This window comes from Homo sapiens, chromosome 17, assembly GCF_000001405.40.
Source record: "Homo sapiens chromosome 17, GRCh38.p14 Primary Assembly".
Taxonomy (NCBI): Eukaryota; Metazoa; Chordata; class Mammalia; order Primates; family Hominidae; genus Homo; species Homo sapiens.
In genome coordinates, this window is record NC_000017.11 from 40,764,257 (window position 1) to 40,783,890 (window position 19,634).

Sequence of the window (19,634 nt, forward strand, 5' to 3'; positions counted from 1 at the left end):
TTTGGAGTCATGGGTTATGCTTGTATTAAGTGCAAATCAGTCTTATCTAGATAGGGAAATCTATTTAAGTAGAAAGAGTGGATATAGAAAAATGGAAGTTGGCCCAATTGTTCTTGGAAAGAATAGGACCTCTGTTGGGAATAAGAAAGAGTGAATAGTACTGGTGGCACAAGAGAAAGAGGGTCAACATTGTGTTTCTAAGGTGGTGAGTTAAGCAAGTGTCTTTGGAGAGCTGATAATGTAGTTTTACTCTTTTAATTCTTGGGGTATCGAGCCTCTGAGAGACCCTACCTGTCAGAATGAGAGAGTAATGAAGCATAGTGATGGAAACTGTAGCAGAAGTGAGGGGGCATCTGGTAACCAGGACTTAATAAATATGGAGGCAGAAAAGGGAGGTGCTGGGAGAGGAGCTGGAGATGGGTAACTAGCAGATAGGAAAAGACTACACATACTGCAGGCATGCTGTAGGCTTTCTGTAGGGATGCTGTAGGTATCTGTAGGCATAATGTAGATATACTGTAGGCATAATGTAGACATCTTTCAGCATACTGTAGGCATACTGTAGGCATGCTATACACTGTAGAATGCAGTAGGCATACTGTAGGCATACATACTTGAGAGATTTGTAGTCATGCTACAAGCATGCTTGTTTTATGTTACAAGCAGGCCACTGCACTGAAAGCCATACTCCTGGCTTTCATTGTATCATTGATAGTCAAGCACATAAAAGTCTGCCTGATTGTGGTCCCTCTTGGGTGGTAATGGAAACTTAGTGTGAAAATAGTGAATTCCTATGCTTATTTTTGTTCTGTTCAATGGAACTCAAATCACCATGGCAGAGGAGAGCTGGATTTGCATCTAAGACCCGCTACACATCAGCTGTGTAGCCCTGGAGAAATTCCTTAATCTCTGAGTATCTGTTTTCCTCATATACAAAATAAAGATGATAAAACACCTACCTCATAAGCATTTATGAAAATTAAATTGGATAATGTATATAAAGTGAGTTAAAACACACTCAGTAAATGTAAGATATTGTCACTATAGTTCTGCAATTGAAAGTGCTTCTAACCAGACTTAATCTAACTCCATACCATTGAAATATGGCCTTTGTCATCATGGTTGGGACCATTCATCACAGGAAGACCCTGACAAAAGGAATTTTCAGCTGTATCTACATCTCCAGAAAGTGTCATCAGGCTAAGGTCAACTACCTTATATGGAAGCAGGAAATAATGGTGACCAAGCCTATATTTGAGACTTGTAAAATGCAACCTCAGAGGGTTTAGCACCCTGAAATGGTGCAGTTCAGTCTTCATGGGCCATTTTGAATCCTGCATTGTCTATATGCCAGTTGATTAAAACCTTTCAATGTTGTTCTTGCCATGCAAGTTGGAAATCCAGGTGATTATAGAGGTCACTGCCTCATTCCACTCCAAATGAAAAAAACCTCTTTAGCCTAGAACTTTGCTGCTTTCCAATCCCAGCTGCACTTTCCAAAATAATTTAGTAAGGATGTCAGGCAGAATTTTGTGTGCAGGAGAATATGAGCAAGATTTAGAACCACCCCTAGGCTTTAGTTCTAAATTTGCTTAGTCATTACCATGGTAGAGGCAGAGAGATGCATGTGCTGGAAAATGGAAAAACGGCTTTCCAGGTTCAGATTTTACAACAAACATTTGCTGATCACCCAGGCTAGGCATTGTAAGGGTAAACAAATCCTAGTGATCAGTGGGTATTATCTTCTTCTTTTATGTCCATAGACACTCAAACCCAAGAAGATCAACTTATTTACGTAGTCAATCAGGGACAGATTTGGGACCAGACATTAGAGCTAGTGCTCTTTCCACCTTATTCTGTTATTAATTGAGGTAACTGTGACTATGAAATGAAACACATTATTTTATTAGCAGGTCCTTAGTATTGCCACATTGGGATCAACTTTAGCAATTAAAAAGAATCAGATATTAAAAAAAATAACTTGCAATAGAAGAATTTTTAATGAAATGTCAAAAAAGGCCCCCAAAATAAAAACAAAAATTAGGGACAGAGCAGGATTTTTCTACTCTGGAAAAGGATTACATGCATAGAACATGAGAAAAGGAAGAGAAGGAGAACAAATTCTAGCCCTTTTAAGAACAGAAATGAATAATTTCCTTAGGTTATTTGACCAGTAGGATTTTTGCAAAGGCAGCCTTTCTTTCTTTCTTTCTCTCTCTCTCTCTTTCTTTCTTTCTTTCCAAATAACTTTTTCCTCATTATGGTGCTTTAGAAGGTACTCGTTGCTCTACTGTAATGTTGCTTATTTTAGAGGACTTTTCTTCAACTGAGTGGACTCTCAGTGAAAGGAGATTGCCAATTTGATCCAGTTCCTCAACCACTGTTTTAACAATAGTTTCTTCTGTTGAGTCTAAAATAAAATAAATAAAACATTAGTGGTCATTTTTTAACAGGTTGAAAAGTAGCCATAATAGGTATGCTTTTTGTTTGTTTGTTTTTTTGAGAAGGAGTCTCGCTCTGTCACCCAGGCTGGAGTGCAGTGGCATGATCTCGGCTCACTGCAGCCTCTGCCTCCCGGGTTCAAGAGATTCTTCTGCCTCAGTCTCCCGAGTAGCTGGGATTACAGATGCCTGCTACAATGCCTGGCTAATTTTTGTATTCTTAGTAGAGATGGAGTTTCACCATGTTGACCAGGCTGGTCTCGAACTCCTGACCTCAAGTGATCCACCTGCCTTGGCCTCCCAAAGTGCTGGGATTACAAGCATGAGCCACTGCACCTTTTAAAAAATGTTTGCTTTTTAAAAATGTTTTTTGCAAGTTTGCAGTAAATCGATATATAATACTGTGTTTGAAGTCAGTGTTTAGCAAGATCCTGGACTATCTCTCTTATATTTGCCACTGCTTTTAGAGCAATGGGCATTTGAAAACATAAATGAAACATGGATTAAAACAATCTAAGTATCAGGCAGTAAAGGCTGGCTGCAAGTAATGTTGTCTTCTTTTAAATACCAACTTGCCCGATTTTTGTGGTTTAAGATAAAGTAGCTCTTTTATCAAAGTATTGAAACTATGAAAGATAATACATTCCAGGTAAGAAACATGTTGTGGGATTAATTCCTCATTTCAATAATTTCATAATTTGACCACATCTGTTGATCTACGGGAATATAAAATACAAATATTAAGAACTATCATAATGACCCCTCATCCCTTTATTCACCAGAAGTAAACTTAAAAACAAATTTTATTTAGTTAAAAAATAAGTAACTTAGTTAACACAATTGATGGAGTTTAAGGAGTTACACCAGGTAAAAAAAATCTATCTATACCTTTGGCTTGATTTCCAGAATTCACAGGCCTGTATCCTTTTGATTTGTAACATGTGGATTTGCTTTTTCTGTGAAGAGAAGAGTAAATTATTGCATTTTTTTTTCTTTCCTTAGTGAGCTTATAAATACCTCTAAATTGGAAATAAGAGTTTTGGAATTCTAGTTTCAATAAGATTCAAATTCCTTATATATTTAAAGGACATTAATAAGCTTTTCATGACTTCAACATAGTGAAAGAAGAGATTAAATGGATGTTTATGAATAGAAATTTTCTCATGACCAGAAATTACCTCTTTCATCTAGCAATATTTCTCACTCTGACTTTTCAATCAACTGGCCAGTGAATGTGTTTGGAGTGCCTACCATGAAAAAGGTGTTGCTGGGCTAGGTGCTGCAGAAGATATAGAACCAAGACACAGTTTTTACAGTTGGAAATAAAGTATACACATGCAAAAAGTTACCTATAACATGAAAAGTGCTGTAAATTAAGTGAAAAGTGAGTGGTGTAATGAGTGCTTTGTTCTGAGGAGGGAGCAATCACTGTTGGGTTCCTGTGAGAATAGGCTGCAGAGGGCTGATGGGCCTTGGAGGGTGCAAGACGTTACCTCCTCACTATGCGGCCATGGGCAAGCATTTAGTAATAGGCAGTGATTACCAAATACCTTTTCTGTGTATGCCACTGTCATGAGCTCTTTACCTATGTAGTGAGACATTATAGTTAAGACTTGTTACAAGTATGGTTTTGGCTTTATCACAATTTCATCAACGAGGAAACTGCATTTGAAAAGGTTAAACAATGTGCTCATAATTCACCCAGTATTTGATTCACAGCCAGGGCTGCAATTCCAGGGCTGTTGCTATTGACTAAGAAACTATGGTGCCTCTCCAATTAATTCTTCCTATATCTTCATTGCTCATCTTTAATACAAGGTACATGTGGGGTAACTAGTGAAGTGATAAGAAAAGAGAATGAGTTATTTATAAGAAATGTGCTTACACACTAAATCACAGAAAGCAATTTTCCCCTTGAATTGGAGTACTGGAATTGTTAAATATTCTATATTTAAATGTCCTTTATATATTATACATACAAATATTTTGCATACTTAGAAATTTGATTTTCAAATTTCTGCATGTTTTAATTTCACTTGGCTGCAATAATATACATTCCTGAGGATAAATATGTATGATCTCCAGAGTAGGAAATTCTAGGATGCAATATTGGCATACCTATACTGTGGGAAAACCTAGTTAATGTGAGGTTTTTTTTTTTTTTTGCAAGTTAATCTTTACCTTTCTTCTCCATCTAGTAAGTTGCAATAAATGTCAATTTCTTTTTCTAAAAATATTTTTACATCAAGAAGCTGTTCATACTCCAGCTTCTGGCCTTCTGTTTCTGTTCGAATCTGTTGCAGTTGTTCCTCCATCACCCCTATCTGATCCTGAATTTGCTGGAGTTGATTGCAGTAATTTCCTTCAGTCTCAGCCAAGGAGCATTCATAGGAATGTTTCTGAAAGAAAAGCAAAGTGAAGCTTGAATGTGTAAAAGAGAAATGGCATGGTCATCTTATATTATTTTATTTATTTTTTTGAGACTGTGTCTTGCTCTGTCACCCAGGCTGAGTGCAGTGGCATGATCTTGGCTCACTGCAGCCTCTCTTCCTGTGTTCAAGTGATTCTCCTGCCTCAGCCTCCTGAGTATGTGGGATTACAGGTACATGCCACCACACCCAGCTAATTTTTATATTTTTAGTAGAGATGGGGTTTCACCATGTTGGCCTGGCTGGTCTTGAATTTCTGACCTCAAGTTATCCACCTGCCGTGGCCTCCCAAAGTGCTGGGATTACAGGTGTGAGCCACTGTGCTTGGCCGGCATGGTCATATTTTAAATATTCTCAAGGTAGAAATAATTATTTGTATAAGGTCTGAATATTTTCAATTGAAAATCAACATTTGCAAGATTTAAAAAAATTCCTCTATTGTAAAAAGGCATTTTTCAAGTTTTGGAATTGGTGAGTTTAGGGACAGAATTCTTGATATTTAATATATTTTATACTTTTAGTCATATGTAAATGGTTATACGTACTTGGTGTTATATGTATTTTTATATCTGTATTGACTTATACATATTCACACATATATTCAATTCAATGGCGATTCCTACGTACCACAGCCATGAGGGACTGAAGTTCTATTTCCAGGGTTTGCAGATTGCGTTTTAATTCGGTCAGCTCATTTCTGGCTGCTGTGGCTGCTCCCTCATGATCGGAAATCTGTTGTTGCAGCGTTGCACTCTGAAGTGTAATTGTCGAAAGGGTTAGTGACTGGCCTGATTGTCTCCTGAGCAAGCCCTTTGTAATTTGCCATAGACCTACCCTCTCGTTGAACCAGGCTTCAGCATCTTTGCGGTTCTGCTCAGCCAAGTCCTCATACTCAGCCCTCATGTTGTTCAACAGGACAGTTAGGTCCACTCCTGGGGTTGCATTCATCTCCACGTTCACGTTCCCCCCAGCTGTATATTGCAAGACTTCCATTTCCTAGAAAAGGGATCGGTATTCATCCTCAGTGGAGGATTTTGATTGATGTTCATGCCCTGCTACGAAATGAACAGTGGACTTCAAGAAGGAAATTAGAAACTGTATGAAGCCACTCTGCAGGCTTCCTTACCTCCTCATGACTTTTTTTGAGGTAGGTCAATTCCTCACTGAGGGTCTCACACTGTATCTCCAGGTCGGTTGTACAAAGGGTCAGTTCATCCAACACTCTGCGAAGACCACTGGTGTCGGCCTCAACACTGTGGTGCAGAGCCAGCTCATTTTCATACCTGAAAGATTAGTAAGGCACCTGAGAGTTGTCATCGTAGGCAGGTGCAAAGCACAACTTTTTAAGGTATTTCATATGCTGAAAGATATGATGTTCTGTACATACCTCTGAAGCTTCTTGCAATGGCAAACTGCTAAAATGGTTTGAGATACCTAACAATTCATGAATTGTATTTTGGGGATGTTATTTCTTCAGAGCTGATTTTTGTCATCCAATGTGCTTAACAATTAAATAAAATATTGCTAGATTTTAGATTTTAAAAAATATGTGATTGCTCTTTTTTGTTGTTTGTTTTTGAGACAGTCTCACTCTGTCACCCAGACTGAAGTGCAGTGGCCCCATCTCAGCTCACTGCAACCTCCACCTTCCGGGTTCAAGTGATTCTCATGTCTCAGCCTCCCAAGTAGCTGGGATTACAGGAGTGAGCCACCATGCCTGACTATTTTTTTGTGTGTGTACTTTTAGTAGAGACGGGGTCTTGCCACATTGGCCAGGCTGGTCTCAAACTCCTGACCTCAAGTGATCTGCCTGCCTCAGCCTCCCAAGGTGCTGGGATTACAGGCATGAGCTACTCTATCCAACCATGATAGCTCTTTTTATAACGGCTTATTTAATTCAATTTCTTTATTGATCTAGTCTGGCTTTAGAAAAACATTTTGGTTTTCAAAGCAAAATATATATTCCTTAATCCAATTGTAATATTTTAACTTTTATTAATATAATTAATCAGTTTGTTTTCACCTACTTCAGCCTGAAGTCATCAGCGGTCAGTCTGGCATTGTCATTTTGTAGAACAATGCTGGCATTGCAGATGGTCGCAGAAATAATCTAAATAGGGAAGATTGTGAAAAATGTTAATTACCAAAAGTCAAAGGAGGCTCCAGACTTCAGTGTGATTTTATATCTTCTTAATCTGTCAAACATCTGTTTTAGTATCTTTTTTCTATGTTAAAGAAATCTGGATTTTCTTCAGATAATAAGCATCCAGAGCTTAAGAGCCACATAGATACTTTTACTACTTTTGATCAAATGGTATGAGCTAAATATATGAAAAACGAAGTGACTATATCTGTTTTGAAATGATTTCTTTTTCATTATTTAATTCTACAAGATTTTATTGCCAGGTACTGTGCTTAGCACTGGAAATACAGAGTGAACAAATCTTACATCACATAAATTTGTTAGGCACATTTTATATTTTCTCTTCTTTAAATTATCAACACACAAAGTCTGTAGTAAAAGTATGCAAATCCCTATTTCTTACCTGCCTTTTAAGATCTTCTATGACTGAGAAGTATCTGCTATAGTCATGATCGTGTTCCCGGGAAGAGCCAGGCTCACATTTCTCGTACCAGCCCTTGATCTTCTGCTCCAGGTCTGCGTTGGCCTCCTCTAGAGCATGCACATGGTCCAGGTAGGATGCCAGGCGGTCGTTGAGATTCTGCATGGTCACCTTTTCATTCCCAGAGAGGAGGCTGTGCTCATTGCCAAGAAAACCAGCACAGGCACCACTTCCCAACCCTCCACCGCTATTGCAGAAGCTTCCTCCAGAAGAGATGCCCTCAAGAGTACAAGAAAAGCTGCTTCTTGCTCCCGATCCAACACACACATTCCCAGCCACGAAGCCTGTTCCTCCACCGGACAGCCTACCAGACCCAGTTCGCGAGCAGATCCTCCTGGATCCACCAGAAAGTCGAAAAGACATGGTGGCAGCACAGCCGGGCAACCCCTTCCCAGAAAGAGGAGCAAAGCCAGGGTTCACCTTCCACACTTGTTAGCTCCCTTGGCCTTTTATAGTATTCACTGGGTCATTTCAGTCTTGACTATGCCAGTCTGTAATAAAATTTACTTGCATCCTAATTGTTGTTTTTCACAATTGGGTAATTTTTAACAGCGTCCAGTCTGTAGGTGGAAAGGTGCCCCAAGGATATTTTTTATATATAAAAATGGTGCCAGGTGAAGTAAAACTAAATCATAGCCTCAAAGGCCAAAATTAAATATGACTAAATGTGCATCTTTTTGGCCACTGGAATATTAATAGAATCTAGATTCTCCCCCTGCCACATATAACAAAGAATTAATAATTCCAATGAGAAATGTCTCCTACTTTTGTCCTGTTAACGCTCATAGAGTATTTCTAGTATTCCCACTTCATTGAGTGCTTCCTTTCTTCCTTTCGTTTCTTTTTCTTTTTTCCTTTTTTTAAAGATATGTGGTCTCGCTATGTTTCCCAGGCTGGTCTCGAACTCCTGGCCTCCAGTGATCCTCAGCCTCAGCACCCAGCTCAGCCTCCTGTGGCCAGCATTACAGGTGTGAGCCACTGCCCTGGGTGTCTGGGTGTGTGTTTTCCTTCTTATCAAAACCAGAAAATCTCAGCATCTATTGATCTTTTGGTAGTGGGAGATTTTAAAAGAAATCTACCATTTCTTGAATTGAAAACTGAAGTAATAGAAATCCTGCAGTCCTGCTTATTGTTAATTTCAATATAATTCATGAATATGTGATGATGGTGGAGAATTAATTCGATTGAGATTTCTTGGTTTGGTCCAGGAGCAGGACATCAATTCAACTAACAGTCTCCAAATTGTTCACTTCCCTACCCCTAAATAGTGTTTACTGTCTTTTAGTTTAAATGTATGTATTTAAGACATTAGGAATTATTTTGAGAAGTGAGCATCATATTGATTAGCAAGGAGTAAAATATATAAGGAGGGAGGTGTTTTCATCATTACCTAGAAAACCAGTACTTATAGTACCCTAGAGAGAAGATAAGTTGTCACAGGGAAGTACTCTTTATTCTCTTGCCTTGATGCTCTTGGGAAGTTATCCAGGCTTGGATCATTTCCCTACTGGGCAAATGAAAATAATAGCATCAAAGAGTCTCAAATGAATGTTGAGCAGTTCCAATCATGAATGACGATAAGACAGTTTGAAAGGCACAAACATTTTTAAATGTTAATTATTTAAATTATTATAATAAAGTGGACATGTCAGACAGGGTCGGGTCTCTATCACCTATAATGATACAAATTGATTGGTTAACTAATTATGGGTTTAGTTTTGAAACAGTAATTTTCTTCCGAATGATATTTTTCAATGTTGTGGATAGTGAATCCTTTGGAAAACATCCAACATTATTGTCACTAAATCGTATGGAACATTTAGTGGACTGCATGGATTTTCTAAATCAAAAATATTTAAAAATAAATAATAAATACAGAGCTATAACTGGACCATCAGCTTATGTTTAGAACAGTGCATGATAACCTAGATACAGTTCCTGTTTAGAGACTTTTTACTGATTTTGTTGTGACCTGGTCAAATTTTTAATCTTTTGCTAATTTTTCCCAGAAATAAAACAAGAAAAACAGAGAGTATTGTCAGTTTAATGATTTATAAGGCTTGAGTTTCTTAGGTGAGTTATTATGAGATTTCAAAGTATTATTAACATAATCTATTTATCTCTAGATACTTTATAAATACAAATTATCTTTTGTGAAACAAGTTAAACACATATTATTAGGACTATTTTGGAGATGAGTTGTCTCTGAAGCTAAGTGGCCACACAGATTACAAAGCATTTCTATATCAAAGCAGGACTGGAATATATGATGCTTAACTCCTTCTTGAAATGTTGTCGCCTATTTACTCACGTGAGTAGGTCTTTTAAATTATTTTAATCATAGATTTTCCTCTAAACTAATACTTATTTTAAAAATTTAGGTATGCTCTAGTTCTTTCTGGAAGTGGAGACAGATTTAACACATTCTCTGGACCACTTCAGTCTATACATTTCTTCCCCGGGATTGATTATTTTATCCATGGCAAGAATGGATGTACATAATAGATCATTTCTTGATAATCTACTAGATAGTAGAACATTACATGATGTGCATACGTATTTTAGATATTCAAAATGAATCGAATTAAGCTTTATGCAGTGTTGCTGTCTCCTTATTTCAGGATAAAGTTTTTCATTACATTATCTTATTCTAATGATCATATGCTAATTTTCCCCTGATACATTTATTGTTTAGTTTCAAGTACACTGTTGTTTAAAATTCACATTCTATATTTATGTTAGATAACCATTTTTCTTGAACTTGAATGAGGTTTGTTTTGTCACTAGATTCCTAATTTTTGGTTTTGTTTTTTGTTTTTTTTTTTCCTGAGAATCAGATTCTGGTATACTAAGTCCGCCCACAAAATGGCTTCCCTGGTTTGTTTTGGGAAGAAGGAGATACTGATGTCTCTGCTAATCTCAGACCGACTGGAGTGAGCATGCACGTAGTTTCTTTATCCCTTCTCTTGTTATAGGGAAGGTGGAGTCATAAAGTTCTCACTAGCATGGTATTATGTCGTGGTGAAGCACCAGACTCTGAGCTATTCTGTGTGGTTTACGTATTTCAGCACTTCATGTTATTACTGTGTGATCTTGGGCAAATTATTCAACCAGTCTCTGCCTCCGTTTCCTTATCTGTAAAACGAGGACGATAACAGTACCTACCTCATAGGGTTGTTGTGAGGAATAAATGATGCTTAGAACAGAGTCTAGCACCTAGTAAGTGCTGGTTATCAACTATTATTGACTCTTTCCTGGAAGTCATATTTAAAGGTTTTAAATATTGGCCTGGTTTTAGCAGAAAGAATTTATTTCCTGAGTTATGGTGAGTTGGTGGTCAGGCGTTTCAAATACTGTGAAATCTGAGCTAAGTATTCGGTGGCTCACGCCTGTAATCCCAGCACTTTGGGAGGCCGAGGCAGGTGGATCACGAGGTCAGGAAATCGAGACCATCCTGGCTAACACGGTGAAACCCCGTCTCTACTGAAAATACAAAAAAATTAGACGGGCGTGATGGCAGGCGCCTGTAGTCCCAGCTACTCGGGAGGCTGAGGCAGGAGAATGGCTTGAACCCAGGAGGCGGAGCTTGCAGTGAGCCAAGATGGCGCCACTGCACTCCAGCCTGGGCGACAGAGCGAGACTGTCTCAAAAAAAAAAAAAAAAAAAAAAATTAAAGACTTTTTAGTATTACCGTTTACTCTTAGTGTTGTATATTCTACGGGTTTGGAAAATGTATAATGACACGTATCCGTTCTTATGATATTATCCAGAGTATTTTCACAGCCTTAAAAATCCTCTGTGTTCTGCCTGTGCATCCCTCACCTCCAATTTCTGGCAGCCAATTATCTTTTTACTATCTCCATAGTTTCGCCTTGTACAGAATGTCATATAGTTGGGGTCATACAGTATGTAGCCTTTTCAGATTGGCTTCTTTCACTTAGTAATATACATTTAAGGTTCCTCTGTGTCTTTTCATGGCTTGATAGCTCATAGCTTTTTAGCACTAAATAATATTTTGTTGTCTAGAGGTACCACAGTTATTTATCCATTCGTCAACCAAGAGGACATCTTGGTTGCTTCCAAGTTTTGGCAATTACGAATAAAGCTGTTATAAACATCTGTGCACAGGTTTTTGCGTGAATGTAACTTTTCAACTCTTACGTGGTAGGATGTTTCCTTTTCCTAATTTTGATATGAGGGTATATGATGTGAGGACTGGTTAATTAAAAAGTTAAGTGAGAGGGTATCTGCCTTACATTCGCTTAGGTATTATTACATGCGTGTGGGAAAAAGAGGAGGAAAGACAGCTTGAAAGTGACTGTGTTTCAACTGTGCTGAGCCAATTCTACAGAGTTCAGTAATAGGACACTGGTTCCAGAGAAAAACAGGCTGTTTCTGTTACGGGATTGGTGAGGGGGAGCCAAATCTCTCACCCACAAATAAACCTCTGGAGGGTTTTCTGCTGAGTTTAACCTCCTCCCACTCCCAGCCTTGAAATAGATTCATTAATGGTAGGTGCTGAAATTATTGCACTAAAAGTTACCTTTGACTTGAGAGCCACATGGCTCTGCAGTCTTGGATGGCAAAAACGAAGGAGAGAACTTGTGAATTCCTACCGTTATGGTGGAGTGATCAAGATTATGAATTAGATGCCTGCTGGAATTCTCCTCTTACCCTTGTCCTCACAGCTCTCTTTTTCCCCTTCTACCTTCAAATATCACTACTTATAGCCTTTCCTTTATGTTTAAGTTTGTTTCTGATTCTTCAGGTTCTTATTTCTACATCTATGAGCATATTGACTTCAGGGACTGGATCTTATTAACTGTTTTATCCTCGTTATCTGGCACATAGCGTGTTCTCAGTAAGTACTTTTCGTACTGAGACAAAGGAGACAAAATTTTACAGAGAAGTCAAAAAGACTCCAACTAGTTTTCACATTAAACTTACTTCCAACTTGTGAAGACTGTTGAATTAAACAGAAGAAATTAAAGACAAAATTCAGCTTCCATTTGGGAGGGTATATCTAAAATGCAAAGATTGGCCAGAACCAGGGAAGATGACTTGCAACAGGAAGAACTTTTATTGAAACACCACCATAGAGAAAAAGCCAAAGAAATGGTACTATTCTAAAAATAACTTGTCTTAATTCATTGGAAGAAAAGCAGAAAAATAAGGGGACCCTTATTTAGGAAACTAGCTTCATTTTGGTATTTTAATTTGGGGGCCATTCTGTCTCAGAGGCTGGAGTTCAGGAAGACACCCTCTGTTCATTCTTGTTGTTGACTTTGGTGGATTTCTCTTCCACAGTGTGAACTCTGGATGAGAGAACTTTGCCACGAGGATCTATCTCTTCAACAACTGTTTTGACAATGGTGGTTTTAGATGAATCTAAAATGCCACATATAAACTGTTTAGAATTTATCAAATTCATAAATAGGAAATAAAACATCATTTGAAACACATACAAATAAACACTGAATGCCTAACACAGCTTTTGTTTACCTTTTGTTTGATTTCCTGGGCCTCCATAGCCTTTTGATTTAGAACAGGAGCTGTAAAAGTATAGAGCGCTTATATTAATTATTCTGTTTTACTGAGGAAACTGAAAAATAATGATTTAAGGTGGGAATTCACTGCATTCTGAAATAACACTAAAAGAGTATTATCTATGCGTGATCTAGATCATAGATATTTTGTACTTGATTTCAAATCATCTTTAGTAACCTTAAAAATGAATTGTTTTCTCAATGGCGGCAATACTGACCCATCTTCTCCATCTATCAGGAGGCAGTAGGTCTCAATTTCTTTTTCCAGGTGGACCTTGATGTCAAGGAGCTGCTCATACTCGAGCTTCTGGCCCTCGGTCTCGGTTCTGACCTGGTGCAGCTGCTCCTCCAGGGCCCCGATCTGAGCCTGGATCTGTGCCAGCTGTGCACAGTAGTTACTCTCGGTCTCTGTCAAGGAGCACTCCAGGGAGTGTTTCTGTAGTTTGGTAAGACATGGTTTAATAGAAAAGGTCACGGTGTTTTAGAATAAGCCAAAGCATTTAAGAGATAATTAAGAGAATTATCCTTACATCATGCAAATAATTATATTTACCCAAAAGATTCCACTTCTTCAATATTAATTGTTGCCTTTATTAAATGTCCTACTACTTTTCTATTTGAGAATGACACAGCTGGTGCTGAATGTCCCTCAGATGCCCAGGTGTGCTAAAAAAGATGAAATTGTCTCTTCATAGGGCACAGACTGAAAGATCCCTCCCCTGCACCAATATAGCCTGTGCTTGTAGAGTGTGGCACAATTTGCTACTTTACCCACAACTAGAAGTCCGCCTATACTTTGCTACTCATTTCTAGCCATGTGACAGTCTTGTCTTATGAGGATTGTAGCTCTTCTATTAAAAAGTCATCCTGCAGTAAACCGCATAAACGTTCCATGAGTAGAATAAACCACAGAAAATAATTACCTTCTTAGACTTTAAATACAGTAGTTCAATTCATTGGCTTGTGAATCTGAATGGGTTTACAGATATACTCAGAGGGAACACTCACTGCAATTTTACATGGAATGAAGATGAGAGTGTCTTATCCTTTCACCTGCAAGTATTTTTTATATAAAGTCTTGATTTTATATACATTCATAGCCTCATCTGTGGATAAACTCTGGTGGTTTACTAGCCATAGTGGGAAAAGTATAGACTTGGGAGTTAGAAAATTTGGAGAGAACTTCTGGATTCCTTCATACCCAACTGTGGGACTGTGGGAATTGCTTAACTTCTTCGAATCTCAGAGTCCTCTTTTGGAAATAATGACATGAGTTATAACGTCTGCCCTGCCCATGCCCCGGGGTTGTTGTGGACTCACATGTGGGCGGAAGTGCTGGGCAAACCCTTAATGAAAGCAGTTATGATTATCATTACACATGTTTAGTTTTATAGTCAGCCTTCATGCCTCGACTTTTCCTCTGTCTATGCCACTTACAAAGGAACTTGTAAGTGCTCTTAATTGAGTGGCCAAAAGGAATGCTAGATGAAGCTAGGAGTGGTGCAAATGTATTTTTGCTCTCTTTAAGCAGTAGGATTTTTTTTCTTTTTTTTTAAATGGACACATAAGAATTGTATATATTTATGGGGTTCCATAATTATATTTCAAAACACACAATGTGTAGTGATAGAATCAGGGCAGTTAGCATATCCATGGTCCCAAACATTTATCTTTTTTGTGTGTGTTGGGAACATTCAAAATCCTCTCCTTGAACTATTAGAAATTATAGAATAAATTATTCTTAACTGTAGTCATTCTACAGTACTATAGAACACTTGAACTGATTCTCCCTATTTCTCTGTAATTTTGTATCCTTTAACCAACCTCTTCCTATCCCCCCATCCCCTTCCCAGGCTCTAGTAAGCACTTATCCCACTCTCTACTTCTGAGATCAACTTTTTTAGCCTCCACATATGAGTGGTTTTTGATATTTTGACTTATGATAGAAGATTCAAAGTCAAAACGATTTTCTTTTTCCAGTATCTTGACTGTATTTGCTAATTTCTAATATTTCATAATTATTGGCATCCAGCTATACTTTGTAGGCAAAGAGGATTGTCATGTGCAAAATGCAAATATGTCTTATGTCAAGCACTGTAATTAATGGTTAAAAACTAAAATATGTAATTATGTTGGAAGAAAATTCTCTTCGATTATTTTTTTCTCAATTTCTAAAGCAAATCTGTTTTGTAACTTTTCGCTTACCGTTGCTAAGAGGGACTGAAGTTCAATCTCAAGGGTTTGAAGAGTGCGTTTCATCTCGATAAGCTCATTCCGGGCTGAGGTGGTGGCGCCAGCGTCGTCAGAGATCTGCTGCTGCAGCGAGGCGCTCTGGAACGGCAGGGGCCGCGTTAGGGCGCTGGGGCTGAGTCCGCGCCCGGGCGCACCCAAGCGTGGTTTTACCTTTTCGTTGAACCAGGCCTCCGCGTCCCTGCGGTTCTGCTCTGCGAGGGCTTCGTACTCAGCTCGCATATTGTTCAGCAGAACCGTGAGGTCTACCCCGGGGGCCGCGTTCATCTCCACGTTCACGTTGCCTCCAGCCGCGCACTGAAGAGCTTTCATTTCCTGAAAGATATTTGTTTAACGGAATTAGGATCTGAATATTTTATTTATTGCACTTTTTGAGTTAGGGTCTCGCTCTGATGCCTAGGCTGAAATGCAGTGGTGCAATTATGACTCACTGCAGCCTCGAAATCCTGGCCTCAAGCGATCCTCCATTCTGGGTCTCCTACAGTGTTGGGATTATAGGCATGAGCCACCGCTTCTGGCCTGAATATTTTTAAAGGAGTCAGATGGACAAGATCTATAGGGTTAGAAACTTTTTGGGAGGTTTGTTTCTTTTGAGAAGAATGAATAGAAGCGTCTCAAACAATCTAAGCCTTATGGAGAAACTGACAGGTTCCTTCTTGAATGTTAATTTAAGACATTATATTTATCATCTGAAATTAGTTTTAAAATTTGGTAGGGAGGCGATTGTGAGAGCCAGCCGGGTGGAGCTTCTACCTCCTCATGATTCTTCTTGAGGTAAGCGAGCTCCTCACTGAGAGTTTCCAGCTGGATCTCCAGGTCCGTTCTGCACAAGGTCAGCTCATCCAGGACTCTTCGCAAACCATTGATGTCCGCCTCCACGCTCTGGTGAAGCGCTAGCTCGTTTTCAAACCTTAGAAAAGTATTTGGAAGTTTCATCATTAGTCATTAGACATGGCACATCACTTTTTAGATCATCATACAACTCAGACTAAGCTTTGAGGTAAAACTACTAAGATAATACTTAAAACTTCAGGCCGGGCGCGGTGGCTCACGCCTGTAATCCCAGCACTTTGGGAGGCAGAGGCGGGCGGATCACGAGGTCAGGAGATCGAGATCACGGTGAAACCCCGTCTCTATTAAAAAATACAAAAAATTAGCCGGGCGCAGTGGTGGGCGCCTGTAGTCCCAGCTACTCGGGAGGCTGAGGCGGGAGAATGGCGTGAACCTAGGAGGCGGAGCTTGCAGTGAGCCGAGATTGCGCCACTGCACTCCAGCCTGGGCGACAGAGCGAGACTCCGTCTCCAAAAAATAAATAAATAAATAAATAAATTAATTAATTAAAAAAACACATTTCAGTTAGGTCATCTATCATGCAATAAATACATTTCATTGAAGCAAGAGAATGGGAATAGCCAAAATTCTTTCTCATATGACTTTGACACTCGTTTTTGTTAGTCCCGAAATTTCCCAAGTAAAATTTGTTGCTCAGCTAGTTACTCATTCTAACAGGCATTTTGTTTAAAACAAATACATGAATAAACAAGAACAAAGGCTTGAGACAACGTCAAATAACTTAGAAGAATAAAGGAGAAAAAATGCTTAGACAACTTTTTTTTCCCATTTATCTTCAGCTCTACTTACTTTAGTCTGAAGTCATCAGCTGTTAGTCTTGCATTATCATTTTGCAGGACAACATGGGCATTACTGGTAGTTGCAGAAATTATCTGACAAATGAAAAGTTAGTTAAGATTGAGGAAATATTTAAGATGCATTTCAAAGTTCCTTGAAATAAAATTACCCATGAAATTATAGTAATATTTCTGGCATCTGTCTCTAATAATCAGACCATTCTTTTGAAGATGGGTAATTTAAGTATGGTCTCTCTCTCTGTCTTTTATTTTGAGACCGAGTCTCGCTCTGTTGCCCAGGCTGGAGTGCAGTGGCACGATCTTGGCTCACTGCAACCTCCACCTCCCAGATTCAAGTGATTCTCCTGCCTCAGCCTCCCAAGTAGCTGGGATTACAGGCATGTGCCACCACGCTCGGCTAACTTTTGTAGTTTTAGTAGAAACAGGGTTTCACCATGTTGGCCAGGCTGGTCTTGAACCCCTAATCTCAAGTGATCCACCTGCCTTGGCCTCCCAAAGTGCTGGGATTACAGGCTGAACCACTGTGCCTGGCTGGGTATGGTCTCTTGTATTTCCCACCCCAAGCATTAAAAAAAGCTCTTTCTATGGGAAAGCCTATAAATATATAACTGGAGACACTGGACAGCTTTTGATATTTTAATATTACCAAAAGCATATACCTAATACTACATGATGGACGTGCCATGTTCAAATATTAGAATTTATTAGAAATTATTTTTAATATTGAAAATGAACTCCTAAAATTTAGAAGCTGAGGGCAAAGCCCTGTTATTGTGATAGCTTATACATTTGTGCATCTGTGAGTGGCTAAACACTCTCAGGAGTGCTAACACTCACGCCATGGCGTTTCTTACCTGGTTCTTAAGTTCGTCAATAATTGGGAAATATCTGCTGTAATCATGATCAAGGCCACGGCAAGAACCAGGTCCAAATTTCTCATACCACCCCTTGATCTTCTGCTCCAAGTCAGCGTTGGCCTCCTCTAGGGCTCGAACATTCTCCAGGTAGGAGGCCAAGCGGTCGTTGAGGTTCTGCATGGTCACCTTCTCATTGCCAGAGAGGAGGCCGTGCTCATTCCCTGTGAAGGCAGCACAGGAAGCACTTCCCCCGCCCAGACCTCCGCCATAGCCTCCTGCAGATGAGCTGCCCCCAAAAGCACAAGAGAAGCCACTTCCAATGCCTGGCACACCGCATGTGTTTCCAGCCCCAAAGCCTGCTCCCCCACTAGAGAGCCTCACAGAGCCAGTGCCCCCGCAAGAGCCAAGTCTCCTGGAGGTAGAAGAAAAGCGCACAGACATGGTGTCCGGAGGCTGGAGCCTTTGTTTCTGCGGTGATGCTCTGATGGTGAACGGCCTACTCAAACAGCTTGGTTTGCCTTTATATACACATTATTAGGGTGTTTCTTGATGAGCTTTGCTCATAGCCAAATGATGTTTGCCAGCTCATTGTGAATTATCCATAATGGGGTGATTTTTTTTTTTTTTTAATGAATGGCTTTACCATACTGTGTCCATTTCTGTAGGTGGATAGTTATTGTGGGGTTATTTGTTATCTCTGGAGTTGGACAGGGTGGAGTATTATCAGGATTATTATAGTGATGCATTTCAAATTTAGTATGAGTAACTCTTCCTGTCTTCCAGGCTTCAGGAATGCATAATACCTATAAGAATAAAAAAGTATGATAGACAGATTTCTCTTTCCCTTGCTCAAATCAGCATTGCATTTTCTTCAGCAATGAAGTATCATAGTATCAGAAGAAGGAGGGGAGGTCCTAAAGGAAAACTGAGGCATTAAAGGGAATCTTCTTTGGAGACAGAAAGTGTTCCTTTGATCCTTATCCTTCCTGAATTACCATTTCATCTGTACTGGTTTTCTGTCTAAGTTCCATTGCTAACCAGGTTAAGTAAAGGAATTGGTCACCTCCTCGGGCCTCAGTTTCCACATCTGTAAAGTGAAGGGTCTAGACTGTGGTCTCTATATTCACTTTCTGTCTGTAGATTGCTCATATTTCTGCATTCCTTCTATTGGCTGTCCATTTCCATAGCACTTTTCTGCATTGCTTCTTGTACTTTTCACCTCTTATTTCTGAATTGTGGTCCCACTATTTTACTGAAATTAACCTCTCAGACATCACTGCACATCTCTAATCATCATTTCTTTTATTTTTTCCCCTATACCCTCTTGGTTACATTCAATACTGACAACCTCAGTCTGATGAGTCTGATCGAGTTTCAGACAGTTGCTTTCTAAGAAATTTTCTACATCTCATGTTGCTCCCCTTTTCTCTTCCACTTATAGCTCCTGTGCCCTACCTTTGTCATTTCTTATAGTTTTGTGCTTGGTATTTACGACTCTCTCTCTTTTTTTTTTTTTTTTGACAGGGTCTCGTTTTGTCACCCAGGCCAGAGTGCAGTGACATGATCACAGCTCACTGCAGCCTCAACCTCCCAGGCTCAAGTGATCCTCCCACCTCAGCCTACCAAATATCTGGGACTACAGGCACACGCCACTATGCCTGGCTAATCTGTGTATTTTTTTGTAGAGTTGGGGTTTGCCATGTTGTCCAGGCTGGTCTTGAATGCCTGGGCTCGACAGATCCTCCCACCTTGGCCTCCCAAAGTGCTGGGATTATAGGCAGGAGCCACCTCACTGTCTTAATGTAAATTTTCCCGCACTGACTTGTCCGTTCTGTTTT

General features: G+C 39.4%; 2 protein-coding genes across 2 annotated transcripts, besides 1 other annotated feature; both read right to left on the reverse strand.

The window, feature by feature from the left end:
* KRT26 (keratin 26) lies at positions 1,982–7,945 on the reverse strand. The gene is made up of 8 exons (NM_181539.5): positions 7,417–7,945; positions 6,898–6,980; positions 5,997–6,153; positions 5,705–5,866; positions 5,498–5,623; positions 4,623–4,840; positions 3,330–3,397; positions 1,982–2,410 (listed from the first exon to the last, which is right to left on the reverse strand). Exons 1-8 carry the CDS (start codon positions 7,855–7,857, stop codon positions 2,259–2,261), a joined length of 1,407 nt encoding a protein of 468 aa, NP_853517.2. The 5' UTR covers positions 7,858–7,945; the 3' UTR covers positions 1,982–2,258.
* KRT27 (keratin 27) lies at positions 12,552–18,294 on the reverse strand. The gene is made up of 8 exons (NM_181537.4): positions 17,794–18,294; positions 16,932–17,014; positions 16,044–16,200; positions 15,444–15,605; positions 15,246–15,371; positions 13,259–13,476; positions 12,997–13,046; positions 12,552–12,882 (listed from the first exon to the last, which is right to left on the reverse strand). Exons 1-8 carry the CDS (start codon positions 18,235–18,237, stop codon positions 12,743–12,745), a joined length of 1,380 nt encoding a protein of 459 aa, NP_853515.2. The 5' UTR covers positions 18,238–18,294; the 3' UTR covers positions 12,552–12,742.
* Positions 15,261–15,555: a silencer, noted in NCBI's record as "tiled region #1152; K562 Repressive non-DNase unmatched - State 3:PromF". NCBI's record gives its function as "represses a minimal TATA promoter and a strong SV40 promoter by Sharpr-MPRA in K562 cells {active_cell/tissue: K562}" and the evidence as "EXISTENCE:reporter gene assay evidence [ECO:0000049][PMID:27701403]".